At 42.3% G+C, this 17,671-nt stretch overlaps 1 protein-coding gene and 1 long non-coding RNA gene across 3 annotated transcripts in view, besides 5 other annotated features; one reads left to right on the top strand and one right to left on the bottom strand.

Moving 5' to 3' along the window:
- Positions 4,026-4,526: an enhancer, noted in NCBI's record as "H3K4me1 hESC enhancer chr11:59447851-59448351 (GRCh37/hg19 assembly coordinates)". NCBI's record gives its function as "activates a minimal SCP1, AML or CMV promoter by ChIP-STARR-seq in primed H9 embryonic stem cells {active_cell/tissue: H9 hESC(primed)}" and the evidence as "EXISTENCE:reporter gene assay evidence [ECO:0000049][PMID:30033119]".
- Positions 8,863-15,594, bottom strand: PATL1-DT (PATL1 divergent transcript). Of its 2 annotated transcripts, NR_187296.1 has the most exons (4): positions 15,362-15,594; positions 11,217-11,328; positions 9,931-9,977; positions 8,863-9,507 (listed from the first exon to the last, which is right to left on the bottom strand). It is a non-coding gene; the product is annotated as a PATL1 divergent transcript (long non-coding RNA). The 2 variants fall into 2 exon arrangements; NR_187295.1 differs by lacking the exons at positions 9,931-9,977; positions 11,217-11,328.
- Positions 15,318-15,607: an enhancer, noted in NCBI's record as "active region_4759". NCBI's record gives its function as "activates an Ori minimal core promoter by ATAC-STARR-seq in GM12878 lymphoblastoid cells {active_cell/tissue: GM12878}" and the evidence as "EXISTENCE:reporter gene assay evidence [ECO:0000049][PMID:35858748]".
- Positions 15,318-15,828: a biological region, named in NCBI's record as "Sharpr-MPRA regulatory region 11887".
- Positions 15,534-15,828: an enhancer, noted in NCBI's record as "tiled region #11887; HepG2 Activating non-DNase unmatched - State 1:Tss, and K562 Activating DNase matched - State 1:Tss". NCBI's record gives its function as "activates a minimal TATA promoter and a strong SV40 promoter by Sharpr-MPRA in HepG2 and K562 cells {active_cell/tissue: HepG2 | K562}" and the evidence as "EXISTENCE:reporter gene assay evidence [ECO:0000049][PMID:27701403]".
- Positions 15,788-16,137: a silencer, noted in NCBI's record as "silent region_3368". NCBI's record gives its function as "represses an Ori minimal core promoter by ATAC-STARR-seq in GM12878 lymphoblastoid cells {active_cell/tissue: GM12878}" and the evidence as "EXISTENCE:reporter gene assay evidence [ECO:0000049][PMID:35858748]".
- PATL1 (PAT1 homolog 1, processing body mRNA decay factor) overlaps positions 15,867-17,671 on the top strand; it is a 32,322-nt gene continuing 30,517 nt past the window's right edge. The window contains exon 1 of the mRNA NM_152716.3: positions 15,867-16,023. Within this exon, the coding sequence (NP_689929.2) occupies positions 16,009-16,023 (15 nt within the window). The 5' untranslated portion in view covers positions 15,867-16,008. The remainder of the gene's footprint in view (positions 16,024-17,671) is intronic.

Here is a 17,671-nt window from a genome sequence, read left to right as displayed (position 1 = left end):
ATCAGTGTTTCACAGTTTTCATTGTAGAGATATTTCACCTCTTTGGTTAAATTTATTCCTAAGCATTTTATTTTGTGCAGCTATTATAATAGGATTGTTTTCTAGATTTCTATTTCAGATAGTTTTCCATCACCATACAGAAATGCTACTAATTTTTATATGTTGATTTTGTATCCCACAACTTTACTGAGTTTGTTTATTAGTTCTAGTAGTTTTTTGGTGGAGCCTCTAGGATTTTGTATATACAAGATCACGTCATCTGTAAACACGTAAAATCTAACTTCTTTATTCCCACTTTGGATGACTTTTATTTCTTTCTCTTGCCAAACTCTTCTGGCTACAATTTCCAGTACTATGTTGAATAGAAGTGGTGAAAGTGGGCATCCTTGTCTTGTTCCACATCTTGAACGCTTTCAGCTTTTCCCCATTCAGTATGATGCTAGCTGTGGGTTTGTCAAATATGCCCTTTATTGTGTTGAGTTATATTTTTTCTATACCTAATTTGTTGAGAGTTTTTATCAGTAAGAGATGTTGGATTTTGTTGAATCTTTTCCTGCATCTGTTGAATTGGCCATATGGATTTTATTGTTCGTTTTGTTAATGTAATATTTTACATTTATTGATTTTATACACTGAACCATCCTTGCACTCCTGGGATGTATCCCATTTGATCATAATGAATATTTTTAATGTGCTAGTGAATTTGTTTACTAGTATTTTGTTGAGGATTTTTGTATCTATTTTCATCCAGGTTATTGGCCTGTAGTTTTTTATTGTTGTGTCCTTGTCTGTTTTTGTAATTAGAGTAATGTTGGCTTCATAGAACAAATTTGAAAGAATTCCCTCCTCTTCAATTTTTTGAAATGGTTTCAGAAGAATTTTATTAATTCTTCTTTAAATGTTGGGAATTCAGCAGTAAGGCCATCAGGTCATGGACTTGTCTTTGATAGGAGACTTTTTATGACTGATTGAGTCTCCTTATTCAATATTGTTCTATTCAGATTTTCTATTTTTTTAATAGTTTAATCTTGGTAAGCTATATGTGCCCAGGAATGTATCCATTTTTCTAGGTTATCTAATTTATTAGCATATAATTGTTGATAATATTCTCTTATGATTCTTTGTATTCTCTGGTATCAGTTATAATTTCTCCTTTTTCACTTTTGATTTCATTTATTTGAATCTTTTCTTTTTCTTAGTCTATATAAAGGTTTGTCAATTTGTTCATCTTTTCAAAAAACTTTTGTTGATCTTTTGTATTTTTTTAGTCTCTATTTCATTATTTCTGCTCTGATGTTTATTATATCCTTCCTTCTATTCATTTTTTTTCCTTCTACTCATTTTTGGTTTAGTTTGTTCTCTTCTAGTTCCTTGAGGTGCAACATTAGGGTTAGGCAGCATGTAGTTGGGTTTTAGATAGATAGATAGATAGATAGATAGATAGATAGATAGATAGATAGATATAGATATATAGATGTATATATAGATTCAGCCATTTTATGTGTTTTAATTGGAGAGTTTAATTCTTTTACATTCAGGTAATTATTGATAGGTAAGAACTTATTACTGTCATTTTGTTAATTGTTTTCTAGTTTGTATTGCATATCTTTTCTTTATTCCTCTCTTACTGTCTTCCTTTGTGGTTAAGTGTTTCTCCCTGGCAGTCTGTTTTGATTCCTTTTTATTTTTAGTATATTGATCATAGGTTTTTGTTTTGTGGTTACCATAAGGTTTACAAAAACATATTCATAACATGTTATACTAAACAGATAACAACTTTGATTACTGATGTCACAATTTACATAATTTTATATTGGAAATCCCTTAAAAAGTATTTTAGTTGTTATTATTTTGAGACAAGGTCTCACTCTGTTGCCCAGGCTAGAGTATAGTGGCATAATCTCGGCTCACTACAACCTCTGCCTCCCAGGCTCAAGTGATCCTGCCACCTCTGCCTCCTGAGTAGCTGGGACTACAGGCATGTGCCACCATGTCCAGCTAATTTTTACATTTATTATTTTTTAAAGTCTTATTTTTTACCCGTAATACTAAGGATATAAGTGGTCCCCCTGCCATTACAGTATCAGAATGTTCTGAATTTTACTATATACTTACTTTTACCAGTGAGTTTTGTACTTTTAGATGTTTTCATGTTACTCATTAGCATCCTTTCATTTCAGCTTGAAGAACTCTCTTTAACATTTTTTGTAAGGCAGGCCTAGTAGTGATGAACTTCCTCAACTTTTGTTTGTTTGGGTAAGTTTTTATTTTTCCTTCATTTCTGAAGGACAGCTTTGCTCGGTACACTATTGTCAGTTGACAGGGTGTTTTTTTCCTTTAGTACTTTGAATATATCATCCTACTCTCTCCTGGCCTACCAGGTTTCTGCTGAGAAGTCCGCTGCTAAGTGTATTGCAAAAGTCCCTTTTATGTTGTTACTTTCTCTTGCTGATTTCAGCATCCTGTCTTTGACATTTACCTTTGACAATTTTATCATAATATGTCTTAGGGTGGTCTTATTAGGATTAAATTTGATTGGTGGCCTATGACTTTCTCGTACCTGGATAATTGTATCTTTCTCTAGGTTTGGAAAGTTTTCTGCTATTATTTCTTTAAATAAGCTTTTTACTCCTTTATCTTTCTCTACTTCCCCTTGAATTCCAATGACCCATACATTAGCTCTTTTGATGTTATCCTATAAATCCCATAAGCTTTCTTCATTCCTTTTCATTATTTTTTCTTGTTTCTCCTATGACAGTATATTTTCTGAAGTGGTGGCCTGCCCCTCCACAACCTGTGGGTGTTTCTCCTCAAGTGGGACGAGAGACTGAGAAAAGAAATACGACACAGAGACAAAGTATAGAGAAAGAAAAGTGGGCCCAGGGGACCGGCGCTCAGCATACGGAGGACCTGCACCGGCACTGGTCTCTGAGTTCCCTCAGTATTTATTGATTACTATCTCTGCCATCTCAGAGATGGGGATATGGCAGGATATAGGGTAATGGTGGGGAGAGGGTCAGCAGGAAAACATGTGAGCAAAGATCTCTGTGTCATAAATAAGTTTAAGGAAAGGTGCTGTGCCTTGATGTTCACATAGGCCAGATTTCTGTTTGACTTTACACAAACATCTTGGTGCATTAAAGAGCAGTATTGCCGCCAGCATGTCTCACCTCCAGCCAGAAGACAGTTTTCTCCTATCTCAGTAAATCGGGTTTTACACCAAGATATTCCATTCCCAGGGAGGAGCAGGAGACAGATGCCTTCCTCTTATCTCAACTGCAAAGAGGCCTTCCTCTTTTACTAATCCTCCTCAGCACAGACCCTTTATGGGTGGCGGGCTGGGGGACATTCAGGTCTTTCCCTTCCCACGAGGCCATATCTCAGGCTATCACATGGGGAGAAACCCTGGACAATACCTGGCTTTCCTAGGCAGAGGTCCCTGCGGCCTTCCGCAGTGTATTGTGTCCCTGGGTACTCGAGATTAGAGAACGGTAATTACTTTTACCAAGCATACTGCCTTTAAGCACTTTTTTAACAAAGCATATCCTGCACAGCCCTAAATCCATTACACCTTGAGTCAACACAGCACAATTATCTGCAAGCACAGGGTTGGGGCTAGGGTTACAGATTAACAGCATCTCAAGGCAGAAGAATTTCTCCTAGTACAGAACAAAATAGAGTCTCTTAAGTTTACTTTTTTCTACATAGACACAGTAACAGTCTGATCTCTCTTTTCCCATTTTCAAATAACCTATCTTCAAGTTCACAGATTCTTTCCTCTGCTTAATTCTGCTATTGATGCTCTCTACTAATATTTTTTAATACTCATTGTATTTTTTAGCTCCTAGATTTCTGGGTTTTTTTTAATTGCAATATCTCTGTTAAATTTCTCTGGTAAATTTTTGAATTGTTTCTCTGTGTTTTCTTGAAGTTCCCTTTAGGGTCAGTCACTGGCATCTTATTTTGTTTGGTGAGGTCAAATTTCCCTGCTTATTCTGGATGCTTGCAGATGTGCGTCAATGTCTGTGTATTAGGTATTTATTCTAGTCTTTGCATTCTGGCTTTGTTTGTGCCTGTTTTACTTCAATAGGCCTGTCTAGAAGTTCTAAGCAGCCTGACTTGTGATTCCTAAGCCTGTGGCTGTTGCAGCCACTTCAGCACTAGAGGGGGCCCTAAGCCCAGGTTCATCACAAGTTTTGCAAGGGCTTTGAGGCTGACACAGCACCCAAGCCAGGATGGACCTGAGGAAGATTGAAGGAAGGTACCTAGGCTGTATAGATAAGCTAGCCAGGGACCCAAGCCCAGAAGACTGTCCCAGTGGCCTGGACAGACACCCCTCCCAGCAGTTCCCTGCACAGGCAGGACAATCCCCACATGTGGAAAGAGGGGCTGGAGCTGAGACTGGGCCCCCTCAAGGGCCCCCATGGAACAGAGGTCAGCAAACCCATCCCATTGGCTTAGGTGGGTGTGGGGCCAGACTTGAGACTGGGTCTCAGAATCTGCTGTTGGACAGAGACTGGAAAGCCCATTGCAGAGGCTCAGATGAATGGGTAACTCCTGTGAGATATGGGCAACTTTCCCTTTGGGAAGCAATTTCCCAGCAAGTAGTACTAAGCTGGGACCACAGCTGAGGAGGGGTGGAGACGAGCCACAAGGCAACTTTCAGGTCCAAGCTGCGAAGACCAACGTCAGCAGGCAGATGAGCCTTCCCTGCTGAGGCACTGGTGTGCATGATTCTTCCTGAACCCCCTGGCAGATGGTTTTGGTGGTAGCCTCAAGGCCAGTAGGGGCTGTTGCCAAGCCCCTTGGGGAATGAGGCCATTTCCCCAGGCTTGAATCTGGGAGCACAGTTGATGGGTCTGCCAACAGGGTATGGGTCTGCACTCTCAAAATCACCCTCCTAGGTCTTAGGCTCCATTGGGCTTCCACAACTTTCTACCTGAATCGTGAGGCTTCCACAAAGAGACTTTTTTGTCTGGATGGGTGAAGAATTCTTATTGTTGGGGGATAAAAGCAGGTGACCTCCTATACCACCATCTTGCTGACATCATTCCAACCCTAGAATCTATTTATCTGTCCAGAAAATTTGCCATGATTAAAAGGTCTGTTGTTCTTCTTCAAGTAGGCTGTGGTGGTTCTATAAAATATGTCCACAAATTCTTTGAAACTCCTCCCTTTACACAGTGGAGCCTAATTCCTCTCCCTTTGAATATGGGTTGTACCTAGTAACTTATTTCTAGTACATAGAATGTGGCAGAAGTGACAGTGTGTGACTTCTGAGGGTGGGTCATAAAAGATATTGTGGCTTTAGCTTCTACCTCAGATTACTCACTGTAAAAGAAGCTACCATGTCCTGAGGACAATCAAGAAGCCCTATGGAGATGCTAATGTAGTAAGGAACTGAGATCTCCTATGAACAGCCAGAGAGGAACTGACACCTCTTGCTAACAGCCATGTAAGTGAACCATCTTGAGGACAGATTCTCCACTGCTAGTCAAGACTTCAGGTGTCTGGAGCCCCAGCCAACATTCAGACTGCAATCTCCTGAAACACTCTGAGCCAGAACCACCTAGCTAAGCTGCTCCCAGTTCCTGACCCCCAAAATCTTTGTGAGATAATAACTTATTTTTGTTTTAAGTGCTTGTATTAGTCCATTTTCACACTCCTATAAAGAACTGCCCGGGACTGGGTAATTTACAAAGGAAAGAGGTTCAATTGACTCACAGTTCTGCATGGCTGGGGAGGCCTCAGGAAACTTACAATCATGGCGGAAGGTGAAGGGGAAGCAACGCACCTCCTTCACAAGGTGGTGGGACGCAGAATGAATGCAGGAGGAACTACCAAACACATAAAACCATCAGATCTTGTGAGAACTCACTTATTATGATGAGAACAGCATGAGGGAAACCACCCCCATTATTCAATTACCTCCAGCTGTTCTCTCCCTTGACATATGGGGATTATGGGGATTAAAATTCAAGATGAGATTTTGGGTGGGGATACAACCAAACCATATCACTGCTAAATTTTAGGGTAGTTTTGTATGCAGCAATATATAACTAACAGCATGTTAGTGAACATAGCCCCAGTTGTCTTGGGAGTTACTGAAATGAACACAGAAACCATTGACATAGTTCACCTAGTGACATCTTCATTATTCATCTCTAAGCAGCACATAAAACACAAACTTAAACCTTAAAATTTTTTCTCATTATACTACCAGAAATCATTTTTTATACCCCAATGACTCATACATACCACATACATACCATAGGCTAAAAAATGGCTCCCCAAATATTTCCATGTCCTAATTCCAAGAACCTGTGAATATATTATTTTACATGGTAAAAGGGATTTGGTAGATATGATTAAATTAAGAATCCTGAGATGGGGAGATTATCCTGTATTATCTGGGTGCACACAATGTTATCACAGGATCTTTATAACAAAGGAGCAGGAGAATTGAAGAGAAAAGTATGATAACAAAAGCAGAGAGAGAAAGAGTTTGGAAGATTTATGCTGCTGACTTTGAAAATGGAGGATAGGGCTACAAGCCAAGAAATGCAAGTAACCTCTGGAAGCTAAAAACAAACAACAAAAAACAAATTCTCCCCTAGTGGCCTCAAGGAAGAAATGTAGTTCTGTAACCCATTTTAAAATTCCGACCTATAGAAATATAATTTTGTTACAGAAACAACAACAACCTAACACCTCATTTTATTATACTTCACAGATAATTGTGTTTTTTACAAATCGAAAAATTTTGGCAACCTTACATTGAGCAGGTCTATCAGCACCATTTTCCCAACAGCATGTGTTCACTTCACGTCTCTGTCTCACATTTTGGTAATTCTCACAATATTTCAAACTTTTTATTACATCTATTATAGTGATATGTGTTCAGTCATCTTTAATGTTACTATTTTAATTGTTTTGGGGCACCAGGAACTGCACCCTTATAAGACGGTGAACTTACTAAGTGTTGTGTGTGTTCCACTGACTAGCTGTTCCCTCATCTTTCTCCCTCTCTTTGGGCCTCCCTATTCCCTGCGACACAACTATATTGAAATTAGGCCAATTAATAACCTCACAATCACCTTTAAGTGTTCAAGTGAAAGAAAGAGTCACACATCTCTCACTTTAAATCAAAAGCTAGAAATGATTAAGCTTAGTGAGGAAGGCATGTCAAAAGCAAGATGGGCCAAAAACTAGGCCTTTGGGCCAAGAAGCTAGCCAAGTTGTGAATGCAAAGGAAAAGCTCTTGAAAGGATTTAAAAATGCTACTCCAGTGAACATACAAATGGTAGGAAAGTAAAACAGCATTATTGCTGTTATGGAGAAACTTTCAGTGGTCTGGATAAAAGATCAAACTAGCCACAACATTCCCTTAAGCCAGATCCTAATCCAGACACCCTAACTCTCTCAATTCTATGAAGGTGGAGAGAGGTGAGGAAGCTGCAGAAGAAAAGTTTGGAGCTAGCAGAGCTTGGTTCATGAGGTTTAAGGAAAGAAGCCACCTCCATAACATAAAAGTACACAGTAAAGCAGCAAGTGCTTGATGTAGAAGCTCCAGCAAGTCATCCAGAAGATCTAGCTTCATCATTGATGAAGGTGGCTACATCAACAGATTTTCAATGCAGACAAAATGGCCTTATATTATTGGAAGAAGATACCATCTAGGACTTTCAATGCCTAGGTTCAAAGCTTCAAAGGGCAGGCTGACTCCCTTGTCAGGGGCTAGTGCAGCTGGTGACTTTAAGTTGAAGTCAATGCTTATTTGTCCTTCTAAAAAATCTTAGGTTCCTTAAGAATTATGCTAAATCTACCCGGCCTCTGCTCTGTAAATGAAACAATAAAGCCTGGATAGCAACAGCACATCCATTTACAGCGTGATTTACTGAATATTTAAAGCCCACTGCTGAAACCTACTACTCAAAAAAAAAAAAAAAAAAAAAAACTGGTTTATTTTAAAATACTACTGCTCATTGACAATGCAGCTGGTCACCCAAGAACTCTGATGGAGATGTACAAGATTAATCGTTTTCAGGCCTGCTAACACAACATCCATTCTGCAGCCCACACAGCAATTTCAACTTTCAAGTCTTATTATTTCAGAAATACATTTTGTAAGGCTATAGCTGTCATAGATAATGATTCCTTTGATGGATCTGGGCAAAAGAAATTGAAAACCTTCTGGATACTTCTGGATGACTAGATAAAGGAAAACAAAACAAAACAAAAAAACCTGGAAAGGATTTACCATCCTAAATGCCATTAAGAACATTTGTGAAGCCAGGTACAGGCAGCGTGGCGAAGCCCTGTCCCTACAAAAAATACAAAAATTAGCCGGGCATGATGGTGCCCGCCTATAGCCCCAGCTACTTGGGAGGCTGAGATGGGAGAATGGCTTGAGCCCAGGAGGTGGAGGTTGCAGTGAGTCGAGATCGTGCCACTGCACTTGTTTGCCCCCTGCCCGCAAAAAGAACATTTGTGAGTCATAGGAAGGGGTCAAAGTATCAACATTGTCATGGAAAAACTTAAACTGCATTTGTCCTCTGCTCTCACACCACAACAATCAACACAGAAGACTTCTGTGACCAAATATATGGGGGATTTTCCCCACCAACAAGCAGTGGAGACCAGCTGGGTATCCTCCAATTCGATTCTGACACTACCTGGAGATATGTCAGTTCCCACAGGTAAAGGGCTCAGTCCCCAAGATTACTCCCTCCTCCCCCCAGACACCAGTTGCAAGTCCAGGTCTCTGGAACTTCTGATCAATCAGCTTCAAGTTGAGGTTCCCATGACCCCCTCTTTGGGTTCAATAATTTGCTGGAGTGGCTCACAGAACTAAGGAAACACTTATATTTACCAGTTTATTATAAAGGATATCACGAAGGATCCAGATGAAGAGATGCACAGGGAGAGGTATGGAGGAAGGGACACGGAGCTCCCATGCCCTCCCCAGGTAGCCATTCCCCAGAAACCTCCACTTGTTCAGCTATCAGGAAGCTGTCCTCTTGGATTTTTATGGAAGCTTCATTATATCAGCATTCCTTCCCCCAGGCCATGGGTTGGGACCCTCTCTGAAATGAGTCTTATGATCCACAATTATAAAAGCAGAAGATTAGAGTCCTGCTTTGGGGTAGGTGAAAGGAAGGCAGGTAAAAGGAAGGCAAGAGAAGGTCAAAGAGATTCTGTTTCCTGTGTATGAAAACCTATATGTATATATATTTCATAACACTACAAACATTAACAGGACTTTGGAAGAAGTTGATTCCAACCCTCATGGATGACTTTGAGAGGTTCAAGACTTCGGTGGAGGAAGTCACTGCAGGTGCGGTGGAATACCAAGAGAACTAGAATTAGAAGTGGAGCCTGAAGATGTGACTGAATTCCTGCAATCTCATGATTAAACTTTTAACAGGTAAGGAGGTGCTTCTTATGCATGAGAAAAGAGTTTCCTTAAGATAGAATCTTCTCCCGGTGAAGATGCTGTGAACATTGCTGAAATGATAATAAAGGATTTAGAGTATTACACAAGCTTAGTTGATAAAGCAGTGTTTGAGAGAATTGCCTCCAATTTTGAAAGTTCTAATTCATGGGTAAAATGCCAAACAGCGCTGCATGCTACAGAGAAACTTTTCCGTCATGAAAGGAAAAGTCAATCGAGGTGGCTTACTTCCTTGTCTTATTTTAAGAAATTACCATAGCCACCCCAACCTTCAGCAACCACTGCCTTTATCAGTAAGCAGCTATCAACATCGAGGCAAGACCCTCCATCAGGAAAAAGATTAAAATTCGCTAAAGGCTTAGATGATCATTAGCATTTTTAGCAATAAAGCATTTTTTAATTAAGGTATGTACATTGCGTTTTTAAAGACATAATGCTATTGCACAGTAGGCTATAATATAGATATCACTTCTCACCATTTTACATAATAGATTCTCGATAAATACGTATTGAGTTGAATCCCCTGCAAAAAAAAAAGTTTAATAGTTTGCCAAAGTATAACTTTCAAAAAGCTAAATAAAAATTATTCTCTTTCAATTACATTATGAGCATGTGTCAAAATATTTATTTATCTTATTAATGAAAAGAAACAGCAAGGTGGTGAAGCTGATTCAAAGGAGGACACAAGAAACTATGAACTATATAGTGGGGGAAATGGCTGAATTAAGACTCAAAAGTTAAATATATTATTGGTTAATGTCCTGTGTGGCAATAAAACTGTCTCCTTTGAGATGATCTTTCCCACCAAAATGAAATTATCTCCACTGGACAAAAATAATTTGCAACTTGTTAATCTTCTATAAACTAATATCTAACTTTACTGAGTCTGGGATCTCATTAATTAATAATAAACACTAAGTCAAACAAGGTTACCTCTCTGTAGAACTTTAAATGACCTTTAGGCAGGCTTGTTAGATAATGTTCTTATTACAACATTGCAAGGCACACAACAATCCTTTTTCCTTATTTCCAAGTTTTGTATAATTTTTCTAAACGGACACATTCCCACTATCTATTAGTGAGCAATAAACTACTCTAAAACTTTGTGGTTGAAATGTACATATATATATATAGCCACATGTGGTGGCACGTGCCTGAAGGCTTGGCTACTGGGGAGGCTGAGGTGGGGGAATGGTTTAAGCCCAGGAGTTTGAGGTAGCAGTGGGCTATGATTGCACCATTGCACTGCAGCCCTCTCAAAAAACAACAAACAAACAAAACAAACAATACAATTTGTGGCTTAAAACTACAACCATTTTATTTTATATATATATATATAATATATATAATAAAGTATTTTATATTTTATATATATATATAAAATACTTCTATGGGCCAGGAATTTTGGAGCAGCTTTGCTGAGTGATTCTTCCGCTCTTTATGGCATGGAATGGAGTCACAGTGTTTGGCTGGTAGCTGAACAGGTGTGAAGAGTCCAAGACAGCTTCATTCACATACCTGGTGTCTTGACTGGGATGGTTAATAAGCTAAATAGAGCTGGACCCACCTTCCTCTTTATGTAATTTCAGGGTCCTTCCATGTGATCTCTTCAGCAAAGCAGCCGGGTATTTTACATGGACTTACACTGCCAATCTTCTTAAAGGTGACCCAGAACTGGCAGAGCATCTCCACTTCCATATTCCATTAGTCAAAGCAGTCATAGCTCAGTCCAGATTCAAGGAAAAGGGAACATAGATCTTACCTCCTAATGGGAGAAGTAGCAGGGTGTGCTGGTTTGCGCCTGTAATCCCAGCTATGCAGGAGGCTGAGGCCAGGAGTTTGAGACCAGCCTGGGCAACATAGTGAGACCCTGTCTTTATAAAAATAAAAAATAAATAAGCTGGGTATAGTGGTGTGTGCCTGTAGCCCCAGCTATTCAGAAGGATGAGGCAGGAAAATCACTCGAACCCAGGGGTTTGAGGCTGCTGTGAACTATAATCACACCATTGCACTACAGCCTGGGCAACAGAGTGAGACCCCATCTCTGAAAAGTAAATAATAAAAACTAATCAGTTAATTATTAAATGGGAGAACTGTCAAAGAATTTGTGGCCATGTTTAGTCCATCACAAATTTTGCCTTGTAACAGTTATTTTTATTATATGGGTAATTCTTTTCCCCTAAGATTTGTTGCACTAAGGGGTCCCATTACTTTCTGGGAGGTTTGTCATAACTTTTTTCACTACATGAGAAATGACCCTGGGTGCAGCACCCTACTCTTTTCTCCCTCTATAACCCTGCAAGTACTAATGGACAATGTGGGGTTTCAAAGTGTAGTCACAGAACTAGTAGCGTCGGAATAATCTGGCAACTTGTTACAAATGCAAATTCTCAGGCCTGACTTCCCTCCTACTGAATGTGAAACTCTGGGGATGGGGCCCAGTAGTCTATGTTTCAACAAGCCATCTTGGCAATTCTAAATGCATGTTAAAGTTTGGAATCAGTGTTTTAGAGATGTAAGTTACTTGATGAAAATATCTGAAACCAGTCTCACAAGAAAGTAAATTGTACGTCATGTTTTTTTACATTTAGAAAAGAAACAGGCCAGGTGTGGTGGCTCACGCCTGTAAGCCCAGCACTTTGGGAGGCTGAGACAAGAGGATCGCATGAGACCAGGAGGTCGAAGCTCAGTGAGCTGTGATCATGCAACCGCACTCTAGCCCAAGTAACTTGTCAGGTTTAAAAAAAAAAAAAAAAAAAAGTAAAAAAGAAACATGTATACTCTGTAAATACTATAATGGCTTACAGAGCCTCCAGAAAGCATAGATAATGCCAAAGAAAGCTGGTGTGGTGGCTTTCTCTAATTGATGGCCTTCCTCAGCTGTCAATAACCTTTCCCATGTACTTGGCATGCAGGAGACACCTCCCTTCTCCCACCCACTCAAGGGACAGTTCCCAGAAACATCATACTTTATGTCTAAAGAATCACTTGTGAAAAGAACTTGTACCTTTTCCATCTTAATAATGGGCCTATTAGCAGCTCAAAAAAAACTATATATATATATATATATATATATATATATACAAAAAAAACCATATATATATATATATATATATATATATATATATATATATATATAGTTTTTTTTGAGATGGAGTCTCCCTCTGTTGCCCAGGCTGGAGTGCAGTGGTGTGATCTCAGCTCACCACAACCTCCACCTCCCAGGTTCAAGCAATTCTCCTGCCTCAGCCTCCCGAGTAGCTGGGACTACAGGTGGGTGCCACCATGCCTGGCTAATTTTTGTACTTTTAGTAGAGACGGGGTTCCACCGTGTTAACCAGGATGGTCTCGATCTCCTGACCTCGTGATCCGCCCGCCTCGGCCTCCCAAAGTGCTAGGATTACAGGCGTGAACCACCAGCACCCGCCTAAAAATACATTATTCTTTTAAAGGGACTTTCAATCTCCCTCACAGACAGGTGTTGTATAAGAGGAAATGGGAAATTTTGTTGATCCTGTCTATGACACTTTGTTTTCTGCTCCTTTAATTCCTGCTCTACAGCATTTCTTTCCTTGTACTTTCTTTGGGTTTATTTTATAGCTAATTTATATTCAGGCTTCCCTATTTTCGTCCTCAGTCTCCCGAGTAGCTGCTGGGACTACAGGCACAGGTGCACACCACCACGACCAGAAATAATGCAGAGCAGCTAATAAAACAACTAACCCAGCTAATTTTTGTGCTTTTTGTAGAGTCGCGGTTTCGCCATGTTGCGTAGGCTGGTCTCCAACTCCTGAGCTCATGCAATCCACCCACCACATCAGTTGTAACTATTTTCTGCTTTCCATTATTTAGTCATTGAATTGGAGGGGTTTTTTGGTTTTTGTTGTTGTTGTTGTTGTTGTTGTTGTTGTTTTTTGAGACAGAGTCTCGCTCTGTCACCCAGGCTAGAGTGCAGTGGCGCGAACTCGGCTCACCTCAAGCTCTGCCTCCTGGGTTCACCCCATTCTCCTGCCTCAGCCTCCCGAGTAGCTGGGACTACAGGCGCCCGCCACCACGCCCGGCTAATTTTTTTGTATTTTTAGTATTTTTAGTAGAGACAGGGTTTCGCCATGTTAGCCAGGATGGTCTCCATCTCCTGACCTCGTGATCTGCCCGCCTCGGGCTCCCAAAGTGCTGGGATTACAGGCGTGAGGCACCGCGCCAGGACTTTTTTTTTTCTTTTTTAATTTCTGAAAACTTAAGACTTTTTTCCTAATCTGTTTTTACTATTGATATCTTACATAATGATCAGAAAACATGATCTGCAAGATCAGGGATCAGCAAACTCTGTAAAGCGCCAAATAGTAAATATGTTACACTTTACAGGCCACACTGTATCCATTGTAACCACTCAACTCTGACTTTATAACATTAAAGCAATCAAAGACAATATGTAAATAAATAAGGTTGGCTGTATTCCAATAAAGCTTGCTTTACAAAAACGGGTGGCTGGCCAGATTGGACTGTGGGCCATAGTCTGCTAACCCTTGATCTACATGGCACCAATTCTTTGGTAATTATTAAGATGTACTGCTACTTAGTTTTTTTTGTTTGTTTGTTTGTTTTTTGTGAGACGTAGTCTTTGCTCTGTCACCCAGGCTAGAGTGCAGTGGTGCGATCTCGGCTCACTGCAAGCTCCGCCTCCCGGGTTCACGCAATTCTCCTGCCTCAGCCCCTCGAGTAGCTGGGACTACAGGCGCCCGCCACCACGCCCGGCTAATTTTTTGTATTTTTAGTAGAGACGGGGTGTCACTCTGTTAGCCAGGATGGTCTAGATCTCCTTGACCTTGTGATCCGCCCACCTCGGCCTCCCAAAGTGCTGGGATTACAGGCGTGAGCCACCGCGCCTGGCCTGTTACTTAGTATTTGATGTTTTATAATGTTCCATGCATGCTTGAAAACCAATAAATCATCTTGTCCCGACGCTCCACTTCTTTAAAGTTCAGGCCTGGCCCATGTCAACATTTGCTTTTGTTATTCTGGCACAGTGATTAAGACACTCGGTTTTTAATAATCAGACAAATCTCAGCTGCTAGCTTTACCACTTGCCATTGGGTGGTTGGAGGCAAACAATGTCGCTAATCCTCAGGTTCCTCAACTGTAAACTGAGAAAATAACAGTACCTACCTCATGGGGGGCACATAAGGAAGGATTCAATGAGATAATCCATTTTATAAAGCGCCTAGCAGAGTCCCAGGCAGCCTTCAATCGTTAGTAGTGTTACCATCATGAGGCAGGTGTAATTATACCCATTTTACAAGAAACTAAGGCTCAGAGAGGTTTAGGTAAGTTGCCCAAAGTTTCCTAGCCAGTGGCAAAGCACAAGCTCCCACCCAGAACTTTTCTTCACAAATTCAGCGTTTCCGATACTCAAACTGATCCAGACACACTAACATTTAGGGGATTTACTGTATGCCATTCCGAGACGAGGCTGCATTTTAAGACGCCCAGGGAAGAAACGGATTGCGAAACCCAAAAGAATTCATTCTTTGTGCTGCAAGTTTTGTCTGAAAGGAAAGGGGCAAGAAGGGCATGGAGCGTGCTAGAGGTAACAAACCACCCAACAGAATTCTGGAACCAGGGGGCCGAAGCTTCTAAGCTGGACACATTCCTCTGTGGGTTCGATCCTCTAAGGAAGTGGAGTCACCCAGCGGCGCACCACGGCCCGAAGACCCTGCTGCTGCGTGGCCAGCGGCCCACGGCCGTGCGGCCCTTCGAGGCTCTGCAGCTCCTCGCGCCTAATGAGCCTGGCGCTTAAAAATACCACCCTAGTTAAACCTCCCGGAACCTGTCTTCAGCATTTCAAAAAAAAAAAAAAAAAAAACGGGCGCCGTCATCACTTTGAGCCACATAAATCACAGCCCTGACCTGCTGTGGATTCAGCAGGCGACGAGCCGCTGAAAGTGGCGACGAAGTCCGCCCCTTTCGAAGACCAGCAACTTTCCATTCTTTTTTCCCTGCGCAAGGCGCAGATTGCAACGGGGAGACCCCCGAGCAGCCTGAGGAGTGAGTCGGACGTTGGAAAAACTGCCCGGGAATCTCATCTTTCCCAGCCCAGGCTAAGCGCAGGATTCTTCAAAGCTATATCCTGTGACAATCACAAGGGTTTTCTCCGCCCCACGGGTGACGGAGAACTCGTGACCGGCCCCTGAGCTCCAAGCCGAGCGCCTAGAGGGCGCGGAGAAAGAGGGGGCGGAGCTACAAGCCCAGATCACCAGGCAGCCGAAGACGGGCAGCGCGTGCGCAGTCTCTCGCCACGGGACCTCCTTCCCGCCGCTGAGACTAGGAAGCGGGACGCCAAATCTGTCCCTGCGCAGCCGCCGCCGCCGGGCGCCGAGCGGGGTGGCCGCCCTGCCTGAGGCGCGCCTGCGCACGTCCCCACGCACGCTCCGGCGTACGGCGGCGGCCAGGGGTCGCGAGCCGGTGGAGGACCCGCGCGCGGAGGAGCCGGGGAGTCAGCGCTTCTTCCCTCCCTCCCCCTCTCCCCTCCCCGCTCCCTGCCCCCCTCCCCAAGAATGTTCCGCTACGAGGTGAGCTGTTGCGACCGGAAGTGACCCCTCCCTCCCTCCCGCGCCCCTCTCCCTCACTCTCTCTCCGCGCGCCGGTCCTGTGTTCCTGCGGGGCAGGGGGCGGGCTGGGGGAGTCGCAGGACTTAGCTGGACGCGACTGGTCTGGGGTCGCGGGTCTAATCCTAGGGCTGGGAGCTGGCTTCATGGGTCGAGACAGTCCCATTAGTTGCCGCTGGGGAAAGTTGGCCTCCGTTTTGGGGTGGGGAGGGCCCGTTAAGTGCTGTAACCAGACCACACCCCCGCCCCCACCCCTAGAGGAGCCACGGAGGGTAGAGCACTGCATCTCCCCGGGTGCTTTTCTTAAGTAGGTGTCACCCGGGAATTCCCAGAGCCGCGTTTCCCGCCCTGGACCCGGAACCACCCCCCACCCACCTCCACTCGAATTACACTGACACACATCCCATTCACACAGGCTACCTTCAGGTGAAGGGGGCCTGGGCTTGCCGTTGGATTAGGGCCCCAGCCCGTTTACTAAAGAGGGCTCCGAGTTGGGAGGGGGGCGTGTCCTGCAGAAGTTCCTTCTGGGCTAGTGCTGGGAGACGCGGGTTTGGAGAAGGTGCCGGGAATGTAGCAATAGCAGCAGACAGTACTGACCCTGTCACCAACTCACTGTGTGACCTTGAGTGACTCCTAATCTCTGGACGTAAACTTTCTGAATTTGTAGCATGAAAGAACTGATGTAAATGATCCTTAAGAATTTTTAATTTAAAAAAGCAGCGATTTGGTAAAGTAGATATTTGTGATTTGGAAGGGAGTACTGCTGGAAGTTGCCTCTGATAAGGAGGCAGTGGCATGCCTATTGGCATGAGTTTGGAAGGGCTCTGGGGTAAGAAGAACGCCCTTTGACCTAATCTTTCCATTGTAAACAGGGTAGCTAAGAGGTAGCCAGGCAAGGTGTATCACAAACGTACCTACTGATAGAATATGGAATTCTGATTCTGAATTTTTGAAAATTGAGGACAGGTATACTTGATAGGAATGATCTAAGACCAAACCAAAAGGAAAACTTGGAGAATAAATCAGTTGAGTAAGATTGAAGTAAAGGGGGAAAATAGAACACACCTAGGATGTGGTGGCCTCTAGCCTTTGTTCGATAATCTGTAATCTTTGCCCACTTTGATCATCACAACTCTCTGCCATAGTTGGTATTGTCCCTGCATTACAATGTAAGACATTGAGCCTTACAGCCTAGCACAGAACCTTAGACGCAATAGGTCCTTAAAAGGTATTTGATGAATTAATTAGAAATTTTCTGAGTTGCCCATGTTCACACTGATTGTAGGAATGGAGCCAGAACTTGAACTTGTCATACCACAGCTTTTCCAGAGTTCATTTTATTGTGGTTGAAGACCTAATTTTCTGTTTCATCACTAGAGTTTAGGCCTATAGGGAAGATAAGAAAGATGGAAAATGAAGACAAAGCTTTAAAACGGAATAATAGTTGAAAAGATGACATGAATATAATGAGAAAGATGAGAATTTTGCTGGAAAAGATACATAAAGATACAAGAAAATAAAGGGTTCATTATTAATTGTCATCAGTATTCCAACCAGTGATGTAAGGAAAGTTGTGGGCTTAATTTCTTGGTTGCATGAGGAACTGCTGTTC

The sequence above is a fragment of the Homo sapiens genome, chromosome 11 (genome assembly GCF_000001405.40).
Source record: "Homo sapiens chromosome 11, GRCh38.p14 Primary Assembly".
NCBI lineage: Eukaryota > Metazoa > Chordata > Mammalia > Primates > Hominidae > Homo > Homo sapiens.
Note: the sequence above shows the minus strand (reverse complement) of the source record. Positions and strands in the feature narration are given on the sequence as shown.